Raw genomic sequence first — 19,816 nt, 5'->3', positions numbered from 1 at the left:
CCTTGAAAGCCTCGCCAGATAGCCAGATAAAACCTCCCCAGCTGGGGTTTGATTTTTGTTTTTGTTTTTCAGGCAGGATCTGGGAGTGGAGACAATGAAATTAATGTTATTTTTTTTTCCTTCCAAGCAGTTTCTCTTCATTGAGAGCTGTGGGACTGGATTCCACCTCGCCTTCCGGTCTGCAGAGGAGCCGGCAGGAGAGGATGGGTGTGGGTGGGGGAGGTCAGGGAGGGCACGGATGGGGAGGGGAGGGGTCAGGCAAGGCAGGGCCAGCAGTAGCGAAAGACTGATGTGCCGTGCTCCTTCCTGCCTCTGGGTCTTTGCACATGCTGTTTCCTCCTCTCCCTGCCTGAACTACTGCATCCATTGGCAGCTCCGGTGCCTCTTTGAGGTTAGGCATCACCTCCTCCAGGAAGCCCTCTCTGACCTCCCTGCACCGAGGCTAAACTGCTGGTGGCCTCTTCTTGCTCTCATGAAGTTGCATTCCATCTTCCCCTGTGCACTGGGCATACTGGCTTATGGCCCCCTCCTCTGCTGAGCCAGCACCCAGCACCGGGCTGAAGACGGCCCTTAGTGGACAGCTGAGCCGAGCATGGAAAGGGACGCTAGTGTGATGACCCCTCCGCAGTCCTCACTGCCTGCTCAGGAGTCTCCATCTGGGGGTGGGAGGTGCAGATGCGGAGAAAGCAGAGGGGAGAGTCAAACTTACACAGGAGGGCCAGGGGGTGGGGGACAGTGGCACAGAAGGAGTGTGGGTGGGACAGCCCACAGGGCTGGACTCGGATGATTCTGGCTGTGTGGCCTTGGGCAGTGAGTTTGCTTGTCAGCCTCAATTTCCTTCTCTGATACATGGGGATAACAGCAACGCCCGGCAAAACTGACCCGGCCAGTCCCGGCGTGAGGCCTGGCGGGCCTTTGCTTAGCAAGGGCAGGAACTGGGGTTGGTGCTGGGCGGGTGGGGTCTCGTGGCTGGGAGGGTCTAGGGCACAGGAGCACAAGCAGACCCACAGATTGCATCAATCATCCCCCACCATTCAACTCCCGGTGCTGAAAATAGCGCCACCCCCAACTCTTGCCTTCTCCCAGCATCCTCCCCAAGGGGCCTGGGGTCACACAAATGGAAGTGAATTATGGGCAGTGGGGATTCAGACCTGCTGTAAATTACACGTGGCTGCAACTGCTAAGAGCCTTTTCCGGGGCTTATCATTTAACCTCTCAGCTCCTCCCCAGTCACACTGGGCCTAGCATTGGGTGGGCACGAGAAGGTCCCAAGGGTCAGGGCTCCGTCCTGGGCTTCCTATGCCCAAGCCCCATGCATGGCCTTGAGGTCTGGTGAGGAGACTGGGGCTAGAGTGGGTGAGAGGAGGCAGGCGGAGGCAGCTCCTGCTTCAGCACCTGCACGCTTCTGTCTGGATGGGGATAAGCACCTTGCACTGTGGAGGGTAACTCGCAGATGGGGACACTAACCAGGGTATTCCCTTCCCCTACCTTCCCCATCATTCTGCAGCATGTGCTGACACTAACACCAATGTCCATCAGATAGTGGCCAGAGTTTCCCGGGGTCACAGCTGTACCTCCCTGTAAAAATCCAGGTCCCCCAACCCATCGCTTTCCCCTCTGCTTTTTGTTTTGGAGACAGGGTCCCGCTCTGTCACACAGGCTGGAGTGCAGTGGTGCGATCATAGCTCATTGAACTGTGGACCTTCTGGGCTCAAGCAATCCTCCCACCTCAGCCTCCTGAGTAGCTGGGACCACAGGCATGTGCCACCTCGTTCTGCCTCCATGTTTTTTTTAACAGAAATAATACATATTCTTTGAGGAAAACTTAGAAAATTCAGACACAAAAAAAGAAAAACTTCAAAACTGGCTGGGTGCAGTGGCTCACGCCTATAATCCCAGCACCTTGAGAGGCCAAGGATGGGGATCACTTGAGGCCAGGAGTTTAAAACCAGCCTGGGCAACATCACGAGACCCCCGTCTCTACATAAAATTTTTAAAAATTTAAAAACAAACTCTACCACCCCCCAGCCGCCCTACCCTAGACTAGAGGTCATAACCCAACAATGCTCCTGTGGGTCTGTCCTGTGTGGTCCTGCCTCTCCTTGGCCCCATGTCCTGGGTCTGCCCACCCTCGGTGGCCAGGCCTCAGGGTGCCCATCTAGTTGCACAGCCCATCCAAGCCCAGATCCTTTTGAGGCAGAGGTTTCCCAGCTCTGGCACCAAAAGGGAAGTGAGAATGGAGAGGCAGCAGTGGTGGTGACATGGGTCCAGCTGAGGATGTGAAGGTGCCCCTGAGCTGGGCTGCCCGTGGCTGGCCTGCACCGCCTCTTTTCTGGGATGGAGGCTCCCTGGGTGCTGCTCCCCTGCTGCCCGGCCAATTCTATCCTTGGGGTCCCTGGAGCCCCGGGTTGTGATGCAGGGAAGAAGAGGGACCCTGGTCCCCAGAGACTCCCCTGAGCCCCCTGCCCAGGCAGCCCCTGGCTTTGACTCAGTCTGCCCAGCCAAGCCTCTCGAGTGAGGATGGGGAAATTGAGGCCTGGCGGGGAAGGGGAACCTGGCTGGCCCTGTTTTCAGATAGAGACTGAGCCAGGACTAGAACCTTGGCCTGGCAGGTCTGTGCCCCCTTCCCTGAGCCTGCTCCAGACTTGGTGGTGGCTGCCTCTGGAGCAGTTTTGGAGTCCCCTGGGCCTCCTGTACCCCCTGAGGCTTAGAAGCCAGAGAGATCTCCATGACCACACAGAGCTGGGTTCAAGGCCTCTCTTTGGCCTTCTGGAAAACGGGGCCAGGGAGAGCCTCTGCTCATGTGCTCATGTGGACAGTGAATGAGATCACAGCAGGCCCGGCCTGTGCAGTGGCCCAGGACGGGTGTCCACTGGGTTGGAGGGTTTGGGCTGGAGGCTGTTCCTGGTGGGCCCCAGGTGTGGCAGGACAATGGGCCTGGTGGCTGCATCTGTGCTGACGAAACCGGCTTCCGCAGGGGCCCCACAGGGCTGCCTGTTTTGCTGGGGAGAGGGTCTTCCCTCCTATCCTCTTCCTCTAGGCCTCCTTCCTGCCACCCTGGGTGGTGGTCCAGCCTTCTGTGCAGGTCTCAGCCGTCTCGCCCATAGTGCCGGCGGCCGCCTGCCCCTGTTCTGACTCACTTCCTACTTCTGGGAGCTGGAAATAGCCTCCCCTGGATGGTGGGACAGGCCGGGGGCTCTACCCCCACCCTGTGCTCACAGGTGGAGGAGCATCCGCCTGCAGTGTCTGGCCCTCAGGTCCCAGCGGTGGACGGGACAGAGGAGGACCCTGCCCTGTGCCATCTGCAGACGTTAATCAAACGACACAGCTGCCGTGCAGAGCACATGAGGACGGCTGAGCCACCGGGGCAGGCGGGGTGCAGCCCTCAGCCGGAGGACCCTTGAGCTGAGCCGGATGCATGGGGTGTTTATGGGCTGGGGGGAAGTACAGGTGGTCGCAGGCGAGGGGGACGGTAATGACGAAGGCCTGGTGGGAGGCAGTAGGAGCGCAGGTATGACTGGAGTGGGTGGGGCCGCCATGGAGATGGGAACCTGGGCTAAGGGACCTGGCTTTACCCTGAGAGCGTTTGCAGGACTTGAAGTTGGAGAAAAACAACACAACCAGATTTGCAGCTTGAAAATGTCCCACAGGAAAAGTGATTTGAGGAGAGGAAGGGAGGAGGGCAGCAGAGAGAGGAAGTGGGAGGGGAGGTCCAGGCGGGAGGTGACGGCTCAGACGGGTACAGTAGTCTTGGGGCTAAAAGGGACAAACTGACTAGGGGACTCGGGGACTTCTGGGCCTTTAGTACTCAGAGTCTAAGCAGGGGTGATTGGGAAGCAACCTCTGGACAGGTGGGAGGAAGGGACGGGGCATCCAGGTGCCTCCCGGGTTCTGCCTTGGGCAGCTGGGTGGGGTGGTGGACTGGGGACATGCAGGGTGGGACTGTGGGGGATCTCAGCCTCGGTTTAGGACACTTACTTGCATTTGAGCCTCTAGCCCTGCCACTGCCACAGCCCCCCATTCACATTTTGGGGGACACACATTGGGGTGGGCGGCAGGCCGCGGGTGACAGAACACCATCTACAACTTACAAGGGATCGAGGAAGACACTGACGTGGGCTCAGAAGGCCCCAGGAGCTGCCACCCCCAAGGCCGCAGGACTTGTTGGTGAAAGGATGCCCTCCTCTGCCTGACCACCCTCATGGTTGTCTCACCTGCCTTCCCTGGGGTCTCCTGCCTCTGCCTCCCCCTCCCACAGCATCTCCCGCCATGTGCTGAGACAACAGCTCCCAGCCCAGCACCCTCCTCGGCCCCCATCTCACTGAGGGTGCCTGTCAGGGTCCTCACAGTGGCCTCAGGAAGCATTAGCTGCATTGACTCCAAAAGTATGTTTCCACCTCAGACCTCGTAGTCTTGATTCAGCCATGCCCTGGGGGCTGTGCCAGGGATGACTGGGCTCCTGTGAGCCGCCAAGGTGCAGCCTCACCCCAGACTTGCAGATGGGAAAAAGGCTCTGTCCAAGGTCCCACCGTGCAGAGGGGCAAAGCTGGATTTGAACCCAGATCCTTCTGGCTCCACAGCCTCCTATGTTGCATGGGGACCCCAAAGTGCCTCCTCCTGCCCGCCAGGGGCTGTGAGCTGGGGGAATGGAGGTGAGACTGGCATGACTGTCCTGTACATCTCATCCCAGCTAAGTCACGTCCTCCCTGGAAAACCTGTATTTTAGAGACACAAACCCTTCTCGGGCCAGGGTGTGGGTAGCCACCTTCCCTGACAGGTGGGTGAGTGGCAGGTGGGGATACCGCAGGAGGCCAGGGGAGAAGGTCAAAGCTGCCTCCCCGTTGGCTGCCCTGGAGGCTACACAGGAGTGGGCACCAGCCCAGAAGATGTTGGGAGGACGTTCATTCATCTCCTCTCTCATTTGTTCCTTCATGTGTTCATTCACTCTCGTGAGCCTGCTTAGAGTTTAACCTTCTGCCTAGTGATGGGGGGACATAGGTATGTTCCCAAAAGACTTAGCTCTTCAGATGCCTCCTGGTTGGCAGAGGAGCCAGAGCAACAGAGACAGCATCACCTGGTGTGGGTGCTTGGATGGTGGGAGTCCAGGGTACTGTGGGGGTAGAGGAGGAGGAAGCCTAACCCAGCCTGTGAGAGCTGAGAAGGCTGCCTGGAAGAGGAGCAGCCAGATCCAAATCTTGGAGACACCAGGAGACTTATCCAGGGGGAGAAGGCAGGAGGGAAGTTCAGGGGCCTGGTAGGACTGAATCCCACACTGACAAGGGGACTCGGGGACTTCTGGGCCTTCAGGACTCAGAGTCTAAGTAGGAGTGGGGAAGTCACAGGGGAAGCCACAGGGGAAAGAGGGTGGCTCATCCCGAGATACCCAGCTGTCGTTCTCGTAAGGCTGCTCTTGAGTAAGGAGGGATGATGTCACCCAAAACTCCCTAAAGAACTGGTCCCAAGTTCCTCCGCAGAGAGGACTCTGGCCAGGGAAATCCAGAGTGAGTGTTACTCACAGGCTGGGCTGCCCTAGCTTAAGGGCTGATCCCCCCAAGGCCAGAAGCTGGACCACTCAAGGTTGGAGGCTAGACCACCTCAGATCAGAGACTGGATCATCCAGGGCCACCCAAGGTCAGGCCGAGGCCTCCAAAGCAGAGATCTGGCTCTTGGAGATTGACTATAAAATCGCATGTTTCATGAAGAAGCCCTCATTCAGCCACAGGGCATCAGGACCTGTCAGAGGCCCTGACAGAAAAGGTCCCGATAGCCTCCAAGGCCCAAATCCCCAGCGTGAACCACAGACCCTGGGCCCCGGCAGGCCTTGGCTCCCAGCCACAGCCCTCGTGCAAGTCCACTCCATCAGCCTGTTGCCCATGCAGACCTTGGCTTGTACAGCCACCTCCACCACATACCAGGAATTCCCATGTGTGTGCATGTGACCCCAATATGCACCCCATGCACACGAACACACATTATACCCCTCCTCACATGCACGGCACCCCATCTTTGCACAGACCACCCCCTCATGCCCACATGCACACACACAATGGGGTATCCCTGAGACAGGGGCTTTCACAGGCTGGTACAGGCTGTGCAAGAAGCTCACTACAGGGCGGGACCCCTAATGCCTCTCTCTTGGTGGCTGGGAGCTGGGCCAGTGTGCTGCGGCCCATGTGCTGTGGCCCCTGCCCTTCCTGGACAGCTCTGGGAAGGTTCTTCCCCCTTCAGAGCCATCAGCCTGGGGTGGCAGCTTCCACTTCTGTGAGCGTGCACAGATAAACAATCCCTGTGGTGGCTGCCAAGGGGAACCCGCACCCAGTGGAGCCCCTGTGCCCAGAGGCTGGGCTGGTGGTTGGGACCCTCTCAAAGTTAACACCCCCAAGAACGAGCCCTGGATCCTCCACCAGCCTGCTGCTGGCCTCTCACCCTCCTCTGCTCGCCTCTCACCCTCCTCTGCTCTGCCCACACGGGCCTCTGTCCTCCAGGGCTCCGCCCTTGCTGTGCCCTGCCTGGAAGGCTCTCTTCACCCTCCTGACTCTGCTGCATCCTGCAGATCTCAGCCCCAGGGGCCCGAGGAAGATGGGCTGGAGTCCCCTTGGGAGAAACTTTTCCAGAACCACCTGGTATGGCTCCTTTGTAAGATGGGTGGCTCTTTGTGGTTGTGTAATTATTTGAGTTATTTGGTTAAAGATTATTTGCCCCCTGGGGTAGGGCTGAAGACAAGGACCATGCTTGTGGGCTCACTATGATATCCCAGTGCCTGGCACATAGTAGGTGCTTAGTTAAGGGTTCTTTCTGAAGGAAGGAGAAAGGAAGGAAGAAGGGAGGGAGGGAGGGAGGGAGGGAGAAGAATGACCCTCAGTGTTCTATTCCGCCCAGGGTTTTGCTTGTGTGTCATGAGATGAGGGACAGGACCCTCAGAACTCCACCAGGAATCAGGTGTGAACGGTCACCTTGAGGGCCAGTGGGTGTCCCAGATGAGGCAGGAGGTGCAGGAGGGCTGATGTGGCCTGCTCTTATGAGGGGCAGTCAGTAGGGCCAATGGACAGTGGGGACAGGGAGGTCGCTTTGGCAGCATCTGCCTGGCACTGCCCAGGGAGGGGGTCTCCAGCAGCCAACATGACCATCCTGCCTGCTGGGGGGGCATGTCCTGGGGTGGTGCTGGCAGCCATCTGCCCAGCCCAACATTTATTAGTAGTGATCGTGTGTTCCACCCTGGAAGCGCTCCCAGTGCACTGGGGAAGTCACGTGCCCTCGCACTGGGTGATATGAGGTTTGATAGGAGGAGCTCTAAGTGGGTGGAGGAACTCCTAATACTGCTTTGAGGCTCAAGGAAGTCTTCTCAGAAGGTCTTTAGACTAGGTCTTGAGGGAGGCCTAGGAGTTCACTAGGAAAGACTTTCCAGAGAAGGTGAAATTGGGTTGGGTCTTGAGGGATACAAAAAGTTCACTCAGAAAACAAGAGAGGAAACACCTTTTCTGGACACTGGGTTCTCTCTAGGGGCTCATGTAGGCCATCAGACCAGTAAGACCACAGTATTCCGGGACCCTGCTCACCCATGCCAGCCTCTCCTGTACGCCCTGTGTGTGACCGTATGGGTGAGGGCCCCTCCACTGCCCCATCCTAGAGCGGTTGGGATTGTGCCAGTGTGGAGTGTGCTCGGCACACAGCAAGTGCTTGGTCGGAGTGGGCTCTCAGAATCGTGCAGCTGGTCCGAGGTGGGGCCATGTCTAGGGTCTGCAGCTTGCATACTCGTGACAGGCACTCACCCTGCTGCAGGCAGCCCTTCCTTCTCCAGACCCAGCAGCAGTTTCAAAAGATGAGTGGGGCCTTGTCAGTCCCCACTGAGTTGGCTGGAACCAAGTGGTGAGGTTGGGGCCACTGGAAGGGAAAGGCCTGGTCGGGAAGCAGGCTCACCTGGATTTTAGCTCACACCTGCCCGGCCTCCCTGAGGCTTCCAAGGATGGCTTCATTCCCAGCCAGGTCTCTCAGGAAGCATGGAAGGTGAGAAAACAGTTCTCAGAAGTTTACTGGGGCATAAAGGGAGCCAGGAAGCCTTACAGGGTGGAAACGGGTCTGAAGTGGGGTGTATGTGCCAGCCCAAGACTTAAGAGAACCCCTTGGGGCCCATTGGCACTGGGGCCTGGGGCCATGGAGACTCAAGTTCATTAAGAACAGGACTCAGGCCGGGTGCGGTGGCTCACACCTGTAATCCCAGCACTTTGGGAGGCCGAGGCAGGCAGATCACGAGGTCAGGAGTTCGAAACCAGCCTGACCAACATGGCAAAACCCTGTCTCTACTAAAAATACAAAAATTAGTCGGGCGTGGTGGTGTGTGCCTGTAATCCCAGCTACTCGGGAGGCTGAGGCAGGAGAATCGCTTGCACCCAGGAGGCAGAGGTTGCAGAGCTGAGATCGCACCACTTAACTCCAGCCTGGGCGACAGAGTAAGACCCCGTCTCAAAAAAAAAAAAAAAAAAAAAGAACAAGGAATCTGGAATCCAGGTTCTACCACGTACTAGCTGGTGACCTCAGGCAAGTCACCTCACCTCCTGCCTCAGTTTCCCTACCTGTAAATAGGTATGTTCACGGTAGGGTTATTGTGAGGTTTAAATACATTAATATATGCAAGGTGTTTAGAACTGGGCCTAGCCCATAGAAGGGCACTAGAAGTGTCCGTTGTTTTGGTACCTGCTATGAAGCATAAGCTCATGCACTTGCTCTGCAGGGGTGGGGGTCGGGGGGCACTGAGGAGGCTGAGGTACCTGGGGGAGCACCCACTAAGTGACAGACTCCAGGGAGCCACTGAGGAAAGACCCAGCCCCTGCTGTCAGCAAAGACCAAACTTGATCAGCCAACTCTATTGGAAGCCAGAGGCCTCATCTCATTTTGCAGAAGAGGAAATTGAGGTCCAGAGGAGGGTGCAGGTCTGGAGGGGGCAGGAAGGGTCTTGATGTGAAGCCCTGACGGGGGCGGGGGCAGAAGAGCTGGCCTGTGTGCATCTGATAAAACACGAGCCAGGCCTGCTCCGTCCATCCCGAGGGCAGGGCAGGGAAGCACTGGGAAGTCAGAGCTGGGGGATAGTGGGAGCAGCAACGCCTCCCCCTCCAATGATTGGAAGCAAATGTCACTGACTATTTGCCATGAGTCAGGGGCTGGCTAAATGTCCTACAGGGATGACCTCATTTCATCCCCACAGTCTGCAGAGGCAGTGGCTGTCATACCCATTACACAGGTGTGGGAATGGAGGCCTGGAGTGGGGAAGAGACTCACCTGTCACACAGGCAGCACGAGGCTGGGATCTGAACCCAGATCCAGGGCCACAGGATGATGACTCCACAGCCTCGACTGGGGTGCCACCTGCCCCTCACTGGGCTCCACCCCTGGAGAACAGGGAACAGCCAGACCTCAGTGAAAATCCCAGCTCCAACTTGGGCGGCTCGGTGGCCCCAGGCAAGTTGCTTCCTGTGGGGCCTCAGTCCCCTCCTCTGTAGGTGGGCCTCACAGTCCCTCCCTTGTGAAGACGGCCTTCATCCTGGATTCTCAGTGACGTTGTACACGGCCATAAGCCCGCCCCATGTGCTCCTGCTGGCCTGGCTGTCTGATCTGCCCCTGTGTATTCCCTCAGCCCTCCTGCCACGGGGTGTGGTCACTGTTGTGTCCCTAAGGCAAACAGTAGGTTCTCACTCAACATCCACTGGATTAGTCATGGTCAGACAGACACCGGTTCAAATCCAGGACCAGGGCCTCATCTCCTGAGCCTCAATTTATGCACCTATCAAATGGGGTCAGCAGCACAGCTGTTTGATGGCTTTTATAAGGACTGGCTGGCAAATGTTTAACACACAGAAGGTGCTCAACCCACACAACGCCCAGTCCTCATCAGCCCTCGGCTTTCCCTGCTCCTTGTAGCTCCTGTCATTGGGGATGTGGTCATTAAGCACCTACTGTCTGTGCAGGGAGCGCCTGCCTCCCAGCCCACTCAGGCGGTTGTCGCCTGGAGATGGCAGCCAGGGAATGTGGGTGGGGGCCCCCGCGGCGGCCCTGCCCCTCTGAGGCTTCTGCTGGACAGAGGCCTCAGTGTGGAGCTGCCCGGGTCCTTTCACGGGCCCAGACCCATGACTGGACGTCTGAGAATGCCGCCCATTATCCAACTCACAGAGCACAAAGGGGCCATGCGGGGGCTCGGCAGGCCAGGCGCCCCCAGTGAGCACACGGGGCTCCGGGTCCCCACCCCGGCCCATGAGTCCCCTGAGCACAGAGGGCAAGGACCTGCCCAGAGTCGGGAGAGGGCGTCGTTCACATGCAGGAATGAGAACCATTTCCTCCAGCCCCACGGGGACACAGAGATGAGAGGAACCACCCTGGGGGCTGGGTTTGAGGGCCAGGGCAGGCCATCGCTCCTGGGCCCGGAAACCAGACCTGGAAGGTCGCCTCCTCCTCCAGAAGAGGCAGAGAGGGAACACTTCAGGGGCCAGGAGGGGCCCCTAGAATGTGAAGGGTGGCAAAGCCTCGAGGTTTCCCCAGTGGCATCCACAGTGGAGAAGCCACAGCACTGCTGTCTGGAAACACGGTCAAGAGGGGTACTGTCTCCTGTCGGTGCCACCACTGGAGGGTCAGCCCGCCCCTCCCGAGCCACACTAGTGGGGCACGATGGCAAAGACAGGAGATGCAGTGTGGAGGGGCAGCGGGGCAGGGCTCACTTTGCCACCTGTTTGCTGTGTGACCTCGGGTGGGCCTCTAGGCCTCTCTGAGCCTTAAGTGTCTGTGCTCAGGAGGAGAGGGGAAGGAATGATCACGCAGGCCCTCGAGACCCTTGGGTGGGTGATTAAAGGAGGTGATCTCCCTGATAATCATCATCTGGGTGGAGGGAGCCCTCCTGAGGGGTTCAGAGGATAGGCTGGAGAAGCCCACATGGGAGCTGAGGCTCTAGGGCAGGAAGTCAGCAGACTTCACACTTCATGATGACACACACATGCCCCATCCTCACAGCGGCCCACGGAGGCAGATCATGCTCCTCTTTCCAGATACGGAAACTGAGGACCAAGAAGCAGTGGCGCCGCCGTGGTCATGCAGATGGTTAGGGTCAGGCCTCTCAGCCCCAAGCAAGGGGCGCAGGGATGCAGCGGCTGAGAGCAGGGCCTGGACGCCTGGAGGCTGTGCAGCTGCAGGCCAGTGGCACACCACTCTGACCTTAAGTGTCCCCATCTGCAAAAGTGGGTTGATCAAAGGTCCATCAATGATAGACTGGATTAAGAAAATGTGGCACATATACACCATGGAATACTATGCAGCCATAAAAAAGGATGAGTTCATGTCCTTTGTAGGGACATGGATGAAGCTGGAAACCATCATTCTGAGCAAACTATCGCAAGGACAGAAAACCAACACTGCATGTTCTCACTCATAGGTGGGAACTGAACAATGAGAACACTTGGACACAGGATGGGGAATATCACACACTGGGGCCTGTCGTGGGGTGGGGGGAGGGGGAGGGATAGCATTAGGAGATATACCTAATGTAAATGACGAGTTAATAGGTGCGGCACACCAACATGGCACCTGTATACAAACGTAACAAACCTGCACGTTGTGCACATGTACCCTAGAACTTAAAGTATAATTTAAAAAAAAGGGGGGTTGCTAAGACCCCCCCCGCAGGGTTGCTCCCACGGGGAAATGAGACGGGTCCAGCCCCCGAGAAGCAGCAGTGATGGCTCCCGGCACCACCTAGGCCCATGGCTGGATTGCCAAGCCGTCCCTAGGACTCTTGTTTCCAGCACCTTCCTGTGGCTGAGGCGGTGCTCTAAAGCATTAACCTTGCAGGGGCATTTCCTGCAAGGAAACGTTCTCAGAGGCCAGGCCCAAGGGACGGGAGGGCAGGAGCCCCCTCCTCCCAGCGCAACCCTGGCCCCACTGTTATTTTTTCCAATTGAAGAAGAAAAACATTTCCTCTGTCTCCTCACAGCTCTGCCCTGGGCAGTCAGAGGTGAGAATGGACAGGACAGGGTGGGAAGCCCACCCAGTGGGGTGGAAGGCCCAGGCCCGCCTTCTCCGAGCCAGCATAGCCGTTGACCACCGTGCCCCAAGCAAGACTGCCCTGACTCGGCCACCAGGTCCTCGTCTTCAAAGGCACTGCTGGACATTTCCCAAATTTCAGGCATTTTGGTGGCATCTGGATTATCACCTATTTCACATTTGTCTTTAACTCACTTTTAAAGGACTTCAATCAATGCATTTATCAAGGAAGCTTTACATCATTACTGTACATGGAAAACCAGTAGCACTTGCCAAAACCAGAAAGTAACGGCAAGTACAAAGAAAACAAAGCGCTATCAGTACATTCTAGCACGCTGATGTCAACAGCCCTGAGTTTGAGACCTTCTCTCTATTAAAAAGAGACAGTGACAAATGTTACAGTCATTAAAGACATGTTAGCCTCAAACCAAGACCTTTTCCTTGATATAATCAGACTTGAACAAAAACTGAAAAAGGCCCAAATTGCAGTGTGAATAACCAACTAGGTCTGGCTATTCTGGGTTAGTTCATTCCAAGTTAGTTATTGCTGGGTCCCACCTAATCCCCACTCCTGAGTACCTTTCATCTCCCCTTGGTTCCCTCCAAAATTCCCTCTGGAAGAACACCTCATTGCATCTTAGTAAGGCCAGGGAAGGTGTGGTTTGTTCCTTCCTTTATTCATTCATTCAGCCAGTAATTGTCAGCACCTCCTCTGCCCAGCCAGGGGTATAGGGGCTGCCACCATGAGCCATCCTGGCCTGATGGTGCTCCCAGCTAATGGGTAGAAGGGAGAAATCATAAGATGTGGAGCCAGATCTGGGTTTCAATCCTTACCTTGCTAATGCCCCTCAGTTTCCCCATCTGTGAAATGGGTTTGCTGACCACAGCCTAGTCAGCTGGCTGCAAGGATGGTGTAAGATCTGGTAGGGCAGTGCTGGGCACAGGATTCACTCTCACCGTCTGGTGGCTCTGCTAGCCACATTGGGGCTCAGGACAGGAGGTGGAGCCCTGGTCTTTAGTTGCAATGCCCCCCACCCCAACTCCTGGCTCTAACATGGGCTTCAGGGGTCATGGTTCACTGCCACAAGGCGGGGAGAAACTGGTGTTTGCTAAGAGCCTTGTTGTGCTTGACACCTGTTATGTTATATTCTCCATCTCACACCCTCCCAGGGGCAGGTGTTCTGCTACGATTGTCCTCATTTTACAGTTGAGGAAACTGAGGCTCAGAGAGGGTGAGTGCCTTGCACAAGACCACACAGCACTTCTCACCTCCAGTTGATGTGAGGATACTCAGACCCGAATACCCTTCACCTAGAGAGCTCCTAAACCCCACTGCTCAGCTTGGCAGGGAGCTTGTGTCCCAAGTGCCCAGGATCATCACCACAGGCTGGTCTAAGACAACACTGAGCATTATCCTCACGGCTCAGTGGGGGGAGCTGCAGGATGCAGCAAGATGAACCAGATGAGCGGGAGACAGGAAGGAAGAGAGGAGGGGCTGGAGAGGGAGTGGGGGTGAGGGATAGGGAGGGAGACAGAGAGAGAGACAGAGATAGAGACACAGAGAGACAGATGAAGAGTGGAAAGGGAAGGGGGCAAGACACTGAGAGAAGGAGAGACAAAGAGAGTGAACGGGAGGAGCAAGACAGATAGGAACAGAGATGGGTGGGGGCAGGAGAGAGAGAGATAAGACAGAGAGACCAGCGGATGGACTGGGGTGGGGGCACTGAGGATGTGAGTGAGGAGGAGGGGCATGGAGGCAGGCCCCATGCACCCCTGCTGGGCTCTGCAGTTGGCCCCCACGGGTGGCACGATGTGCGCCTTCTCCATCCAGAGAGGAAGACAGGGACACAGTCCCACGGGCAGTCCCCTGAGTGGCTCTTGGTGGGTGGATGGGCCTGGGAGGGGGCCTCCAATTTCCTGCAGCTCAACACTCCCGGCCATCAAAGCAGTGGCCAGACCAGGGCTGAGGGGTCTGGAACAAGGCGGGCAGGATGGCAGGAAGGCGAGGGTGTTGAGGGAAGTGGGGGGCGGCTGCAGGCCCAGCCTTTCCTGCCGGCCCCATGGTGCACAGACACCCCTGCCCTTCCTTCCTGGTTGGGTGGGAAAGAGGAAAATGAGGTCCCGCTACTCTCAGAGTGAGGCCCACCGGGCACCCTGTGGAAGCTGGGGGTCTGATGGGAGGCCCCGTTCTGAGAGGTCGGAGCTGAAGGGCTTTTGCTTTCAAACACTGTAGCTCTGCTCCTCATGAGCTGTGCATCTTGGGCCAGTCCCTTCCCCTCAGCCTTGGTTTCCATATCTGGAAGATGGGTTACCAATAGCGCTCGCCTCGGGGGAATCTGTGAGGAAAAAGAGAGCCCGTACATGGCAAGTGCTTGGCACAGTGTCTGGCACGGGCTAGCCCTGTGTGAGCACCCCCGCAAAACAGCCACGGCGCATGGTCCTCACAGGGCTGTGACCTTGGAACCAGGCTGCCTGCCCCTAACGCTGCTTTTGAGATCAAGAACCCTGCCCAGTGCCGGCTTTTGTGGGACTAATCTTCCACTAAGCCTGGGAGGATGTCAGGGAAAGTGCCTGGCGGGGGTGCCAGGGGTGGGGGTGCGGCTGGGTCTCCACAGGAGGCAACTGTGGGCTCCAGGACCAAGGCCTTGCTCTGGCTATCGGTTGTGGGCCACTGGCTGGAACTATTTCCTCTCTCCATGTTTTCCTCATTTATATATCTGACCCTGAGCACTGGTCCCTCTGGCCCTGCCACTTGTAAATCCCTTTTATGGGTCTGGGGTTTGGGGGACAGATTATGGGGTCTGGGGGGCCCGACTGGCCGGCACCGGGGGAGCGAAGGCCTGGACAGTGCCTGAGAAAGGTGGTGGAGGGAGGCTGAGTGTGGAGGGGAGACACAGGGTTCGGGAAGGCAGAGGGAGAAGGAAAGGGGAGCTCAGAGGGACCGAGAGAGGGACGGAGGGTCCGAGGGGGAGGCAGAGGGAGCCACGGAGAGAGGGAGCGAGCGTCAGGGACGGAAAAACGGAGCAGGAGAGAGAAGGAGACTAGAAAGGGCCGGGGGCGGGGCTGCCAGGGACTGGAGAGCGAAGCGGAGTCGGAGGGAGAAGGAGAAGCAGAGGCAGAACCCGGAGAAGCGCCACACGCGCGGAGTTTGGGGTGGGGACAGAGACGGAGAGACGCAGAGACCGAGAGACGCAGAGAGAGGGAGAGACGGGGTGGGGGAGAGGGCGGAAAAGAGAAAACAGGCGCGAGCGAGGCAGGCCAAGCGGCCAAGTGGGAGGAAAGAGCGAGGAGAGCGAGCGACGGCGGCGGCGGCTACGGGGAGGGACCCTGGGGCCGCGGGCGGGTCCTGGAGGGCGCGGGCGGCGGGACCCGCGGACGGCGGGGCGTGGCCCAGGGCGGCCAGGGGCAGGCGGGGGTCCCGGGGGCGGGCGGGGCCGGGGCGGGGAGTGAGGGCGTGTCCGCAGCGGAGCCGCCCCCGCCCCGCCCCCGGGCTGCGCGGCGAGGCTGACCCGGGCCCGGGCGCCGGGGTCGGGGGCGGCTGGCGCGGGCAGGAAGCGCATCGCGGCCCGGGCCCGCCCCCCGCCTCCCGCCGCCTCCGGGCTCCCGGCTCCCGGCCGCGCCTCGCCCCATGCACTCGCCGCGCCGCGCAGCCCGCGCACGCCCGGATGGCTCCTCGCGCCGCGGGCGGCGCACCCCTTAGCGCCCGGGCCGCCGCCGCCAGCCCCCCGCCGTTCCAGACGCCGCCGCGGTGCCCGGTGCCGCTGCTGTTGCTGCTGCTCCTGGGGGCGGCGCGGGCCGGCGCCCTGGAGATCCAGCGTCGGTTCCCCTCGCCCACGCCCACCAACAACTTCGCCCTGGACGGCGCGGCGGGGACCGTGTACCTGGCGGCCGTCAACCGCCTCTATCAGCTGTCGGGCGCCAACCTGAGCCTGGAGGCCGAGGCGGCCGTGGGCCCGGTGCCCGACAGCCCGCTGTGTCACGCTCCGCAGCTGCCGCAGGCCTCGTGCGAGCACCCGCGGCGCCTCACGGACAACTACAACAAGATCCTGCAGCTGGACCCCGGCCAGGGCCTGGTAGTCGTGTGCGGGTCCATCTACCAGGGCTTCTGCCAGCTGCGGCGCCGGGGCAACATCTCGGCCGTGGCCGTGCGCTTCCCGCCCGCCGCGCCGCCCGCCGAGCCCGTCACGGTGTTCCCCAGCATGCTGAACGTGGCGGCCAACCACCCGAACGCGTCCACCGTGGGGCTAGTTCTGCCTCCCGCCGCGGGCGCGGGGGGCAGCCGCCTGCTCGTGGGCGCCACGTACACCGGTTACGGCAGCTCCTTCTTCCCGCGCAACCGCAGCCTGGAGGACCACCGCTTCGAGAACACGCCCGAGATCGCCATCCGCTCCCTGGACACGCGCGGCGACCTGGCCAAGCTCTTCACCTTCGACCTCAACCCCTCCGACGACAACATCCTCAAGATCAAGCAGGGCGCCAAGGAGCAGCACAAGCTGGGCTTCGTGAGCGCCTTCCTGCACCCGTCCGACCCGCCGCCGGGTGCACAGTCCTACGCGTACCTGGCGCTCAACAGCGAGGCGCGCGCGGGCGACAAGGAGAGCCAGGCGCGGAGCCTGCTGGCGCGCATCTGCCTGCCCCACGGCGCCGGCGGCGACGCCAAGAAGCTCACCGAGTCCTACATCCAGTTGGGCTTGCAGTGCGCGGGCGGCGCGGGCCGCGGCGACCTCTACAGCCGCCTGGTGTCGGTCTTCCCAGCCCGGGAGCGGCTCTTTGCTGTCTTCGAGCGGCCCCAGGGGTCCCCCGCGGCCCGCGCTGCTCCGGCCGCACTCTGCGCCTTCCGCTTCGCCGACGTGCGAGCCGCCATCCGAGCTGCGCGCACCGCCTGCTTCGTGGAACCGGCGCCCGACGTGGTGGCGGTGCTCGACAGCGTGGTGCAGGGCACGGGACCGGCCTGTGAGCGCAAGCTCAACATCCAGGTACACCCGGGCGGTGGCGGCGGCGGCGGCGGCGGCGGCGGCGGGGGCGGGGGCGGGGGCGGGCGGGAACCGAGCGGGTCGTGAGCTGAGTGGGTCACAGGTGGGAGCGCGCAGAGATCCAGATGTACGTGGAACCCAGGTGTGCACGCGAGAATACAGGTGTCCCCCGAGGGGTACTACTGGCGCCTGTATGGCCCAGGTGGGCATGTGCAGGGACTCAAGTGAGTGCCGGCTCATGGGCGCGCATACCTAGGCGTACTGGGAGGGGTCCAAGTTGCCACAGGTACCCAGGTGCGCATAAAGCCCAGGTATGCACGTGAGGGTCACAGGTGCATGCTGAGGGCGCAGTAAGTGACTGCATGCCTGACCAAAGTTGTGTTCTGGGGCCACTGCGTGAGCCTGTCAGAGTTACCATTGCACGTTGGTGATGGGTGCATGGGTGTGGCAGGTGTGCAAGGAGGCACACAGGTGTGCACCAGGGCCCTGCAGATGTCTGCATGGACTTGTGTGCCAGCAAGCTGGGGCCTGAAGACGCACAGGGCAGACAGGTGTACTGCACAGACACTGGTACAACGGGACAGGGCTAGGTGTGCAGTGGGATGTGCGTGGCAGGGGACGCAGGTATTTGGGCATGAGTCGGTACTCTGAGGAGGCTGCATGGTTGGCAAACAGGTGTGTGCCTGAGGCCAACTTTTATTCACCTATTCTGCAAATATTTCCTGAGCACCTAGTATGTACCAGGTGTGGGAGTCTGGGGTAAACAATAGCACTTGTGGAGTGCCAGCTAGGGGCATCACATGTCACAATTCCCAGTTCTCAGAACAACCCTCTCAGGTAGCCTCTATTCTCATCACATTTTACAGATGAAGAAACAGGCACAGAGAGGTTAAGCAACTTGCTGAGGATCACACAGTTGGGCACTAGCAGAGGTGGATTTGAATCCAGCCTGTCTGGCCTCAGCATCTGTGTTTTTAATGCCCAGCCTTTGCTGCCTTCTGGACTTGGATCTCAGAGTGCGTGTGTTTTGGGGGCGTCCCAGGCAGCTGGGGTGGGCAGATGCCAGGGCCAGGAGAATGGAGGGATGTGAACAGGGGTGTTTTGGGGGCAGGAGAGGGCCGTGGGGCTCAGTGGGGAATGAGGAGGAGTACAGGCAGGCATGGGGCCCAGGTGTCTGAGGCTGGGTTGGGCAGTAGCAAGGGGGGCCAGGTTGACGGAATCAGCATGTGTGTTGACATGACAAGGGTGCGGGAGGGGACTTGGTGTGGTTCCCTGAAAGGAAGTTCATGGCAAGGGATTGCTCCTCACACTGGCTTTGGGAGCTGGGTCTGTTGATCCCCATAGTTCACCCTGAGGAATGAGGCCCCAGAATGACACTGGGGCCTTTCCCACACCCTCCACCCATCTGAGTCTGGCGAGCCCACTTCAGCTCCACTGCCTGCCATTCCCTTAGGAAGCTGCATCTCCATCAGCAAAATGCAGAACTCAGCCTTCTTGTGGTGACCCAAGCCTTCCTTGGGGCCCCACCCTGTCCCTTCTCCATGGCTGTGACAAGAATTTCATGAGATTAACCATTCCTCTGTGGGCGGGCCCAACACTGGGGCTTTGAGAAAATGCAGATTCCTTCTCCCAAGGTCGAGGTCGGTCTCCCACGACTGCCCACCATCTGGCCGGCCACCCTGAAAGTAAAGGTCACGGTGGGTGAGCAGGGCAGACAGTCCAAAGGGTGGTGGGGCTGCTTGCCCTGTGCCATGGTTGGTTCATCCACCATCTCCACCCCAGAGCTTCATCTCGCAGGCAACTGTGTTTGGCACTGGGGGTCTCAGTGGGGAGTCGCTGAATGGAGAGAAGTGTCCTGTGGACTGAGGGCCTTCCTCCAGTAGTTTCAGGCCCTGTGTCTCGGCCCTTTGGTGTAAGCTGATCTGTGGGATTCCTTAGGCCAGCCCAGGGTTCCCTCCCCCTCTGGCAAGAACCATTCTGGTTCCCACGGTCCGCTCCCTCGGTGCAGTGACTCACCCAGCTGAGGGGGGCTGGAGCTTCTCTACCTAAGGGGACAGGGCCTCTCCAGGGACACAGCCCCAGGACAGAGTGGCGAAGGGCCTCTTCCCCACCCCAAGGCCACAGATTCCGGCTGCGGCCTTCCTTGGTCACCCTCCCTGTGTTTTCCACACCCTTCTCCTCTTCGCCGTGCCCGCTGTGGGCACAGGCCAGTGCCACTTGGCAGTATCTCCCAGAGGTGCTCAAGGTCCCCGGTCTGGGCCTCTAGCATGGGCAGGGGTGGGGGAGGGATCATTATTCTTGCTCCAGGCTGTTGCCAGCTATGCAGCGACAGATTCAGAACCTAGACTTTGCATCAGGCTGCTTGGGTTCAAGTCCCACTTTGTCACTTCCCAGCTGTGTGACCTTGGCCAAGGAACTTAACCTCTCTGGGCCTCAGTTTCTTCATCTGTGAAGTGGGGACAGTAAAAGCAATCCTTATCCCAAAGCATTGTTTTAAGGACTAGATGAATCGATAAATGCAGCTCAGTGTACCCAGTACACAGTAAGCACCAAGCAGATGGCAGTTCTTCTTGTTATTACTCTAAGGGACATTATTAGCACAGGTCTCTGCTTGGTCCTGGAGAGCAGTTGCCTAATCTGGCTTGTTCTGCAGCTGTAAACACCCCACCATCTCCTACTTCTAGCCCCAGATGACACCTCCATAGACATTTACTAAGTCCCTATTGTGAGCCCAGTCCCATGCTGTGCCCTGGGGAGCCAATGGCAACTCACTTTGTTTCTACTCTTGTGGGCTGGGCAGGTGAGCCGAGGACGGATGTGTGACC

At 59.0% G+C, this 19,816-nt stretch overlaps 1 protein-coding gene and 1 long non-coding RNA gene across 7 annotated transcripts in view, besides 11 other annotated features; both read left to right on the top strand.

Annotated features, from left to right (window-relative positions):
- The first annotated feature begins 6,521 nt into the window (after positions 1–6,521).
- On the top strand, positions 6,522–12,445 carry LOC124909431 (uncharacterized). Its single transcript, XR_007096079.1, has 2 exons — positions 6,522–6,623; positions 11,969–12,445. It is a non-coding gene; the product is annotated as an uncharacterized LOC124909431 (long non-coding RNA).
- Positions 7,103–7,397: an enhancer, noted in NCBI's record as "tiled region #12201; HepG2 Activating non-DNase unmatched - State 3:PromF, and K562 Activating DNase matched - State 5:Enh". NCBI's record gives its function as "activates a minimal TATA promoter and a strong SV40 promoter by Sharpr-MPRA in HepG2 and K562 cells {active_cell/tissue: HepG2 | K562}" and the evidence as "EXISTENCE:reporter gene assay evidence [ECO:0000049][PMID:27701403]".
- Positions 8,709–9,630: an enhancer, noted in NCBI's record as "H3K27ac-H3K4me1 hESC enhancer chr3:129331536-129332457 (GRCh37/hg19 assembly coordinates)". NCBI's record gives its function as "activates a minimal SCP1, AML or CMV promoter by ChIP-STARR-seq in naive H9 embryonic stem cells {active_cell/tissue: H9 hESC(naive)}" and the evidence as "EXISTENCE:reporter gene assay evidence [ECO:0000049][PMID:30033119]".
- Positions 9,631–10,553: an enhancer, noted in NCBI's record as "H3K27ac-H3K4me1 hESC enhancer chr3:129330613-129331535 (GRCh37/hg19 assembly coordinates)". NCBI's record gives its function as "activates a minimal SCP1, AML or CMV promoter by ChIP-STARR-seq in naive H9 embryonic stem cells {active_cell/tissue: H9 hESC(naive)}" and the evidence as "EXISTENCE:reporter gene assay evidence [ECO:0000049][PMID:30033119]".
- Positions 13,435–14,425: an enhancer, noted in NCBI's record as "H3K27ac-H3K4me1 hESC enhancer chr3:129326741-129327731 (GRCh37/hg19 assembly coordinates)". NCBI's record gives its function as "activates a minimal SCP1, AML or CMV promoter by ChIP-STARR-seq in naive H9 embryonic stem cells {active_cell/tissue: H9 hESC(naive)}" and the evidence as "EXISTENCE:reporter gene assay evidence [ECO:0000049][PMID:30033119]".
- Positions 14,426–15,418: an enhancer, noted in NCBI's record as "H3K27ac-H3K4me1 hESC enhancer chr3:129325748-129326740 (GRCh37/hg19 assembly coordinates)". NCBI's record gives its function as "activates a minimal SCP1, AML or CMV promoter by ChIP-STARR-seq in naive H9 embryonic stem cells {active_cell/tissue: H9 hESC(naive)}" and the evidence as "EXISTENCE:reporter gene assay evidence [ECO:0000049][PMID:30033119]".
- Positions 14,426–15,478: a biological region, named in NCBI's record as "H3K27ac-H3K4me1 hESC enhancer GRCh37_chr3:129325748-129326740".
- Positions 15,319–15,478: a silencer, noted in NCBI's record as "silent region_14727". NCBI's record gives its function as "represses an Ori minimal core promoter by ATAC-STARR-seq in GM12878 lymphoblastoid cells {active_cell/tissue: GM12878}" and the evidence as "EXISTENCE:reporter gene assay evidence [ECO:0000049][PMID:35858748]".
- Positions 15,629–15,688: a silencer, noted in NCBI's record as "silent region_14726". NCBI's record gives its function as "represses an Ori minimal core promoter by ATAC-STARR-seq in GM12878 lymphoblastoid cells {active_cell/tissue: GM12878}" and the evidence as "EXISTENCE:reporter gene assay evidence [ECO:0000049][PMID:35858748]".
- The window catches only part of PLXND1 (plexin D1), a 51,463-nt gene continuing 47,293 nt past the window's right edge, over positions 15,647–19,816 (top strand). For all 6 annotated transcript variants that reach the window (XM_011512589.2, NM_015103.3, XM_011512588.3 and 3 more), the window contains exon 1: positions 15,647–16,994. In XM_011512589.2, the coding sequence (XP_011510891.1) occupies positions 15,684–16,994 (1,311 nt within the window). In that variant the 5' untranslated portion in view covers positions 15,647–15,683. The remainder of the gene's footprint in view (positions 16,995–19,816) is intronic.
- Positions 16,411–17,403: an enhancer, noted in NCBI's record as "H3K27ac-H3K4me1 hESC enhancer chr3:129323763-129324755 (GRCh37/hg19 assembly coordinates)". NCBI's record gives its function as "activates a minimal SCP1, AML or CMV promoter by ChIP-STARR-seq in naive H9 embryonic stem cells {active_cell/tissue: H9 hESC(naive)}" and the evidence as "EXISTENCE:reporter gene assay evidence [ECO:0000049][PMID:30033119]".
- Positions 18,396–19,388: an enhancer, noted in NCBI's record as "H3K4me1 hESC enhancer chr3:129321778-129322770 (GRCh37/hg19 assembly coordinates)". NCBI's record gives its function as "activates a minimal SCP1, AML or CMV promoter by ChIP-STARR-seq in naive and primed H9 embryonic stem cells {active_cell/tissue: H9 hESC(naive and primed)}" and the evidence as "EXISTENCE:reporter gene assay evidence [ECO:0000049][PMID:30033119]".
- Positions 18,823–19,117: a silencer, noted in NCBI's record as "tiled region #6157; HepG2 Repressive DNase unmatched - State 2:TssF, and K562 Repressive DNase unmatched - State 8:EnhW". NCBI's record gives its function as "represses a minimal TATA promoter and a strong SV40 promoter by Sharpr-MPRA in HepG2 and K562 cells {active_cell/tissue: HepG2 | K562}" and the evidence as "EXISTENCE:reporter gene assay evidence [ECO:0000049][PMID:27701403]".

The sequence above is a fragment of the Homo sapiens genome, chromosome 3 (genome assembly GCF_000001405.40).
Source record: "Homo sapiens chromosome 3, GRCh38.p14 Primary Assembly".
Lineage (NCBI taxonomy): Eukaryota > Metazoa > Chordata > Mammalia > Primates > Hominidae > Homo > Homo sapiens.
The sequence above is the reverse complement of the archived record's forward strand: the minus strand, read 5'-3'. Positions and strand labels throughout refer to the sequence as shown.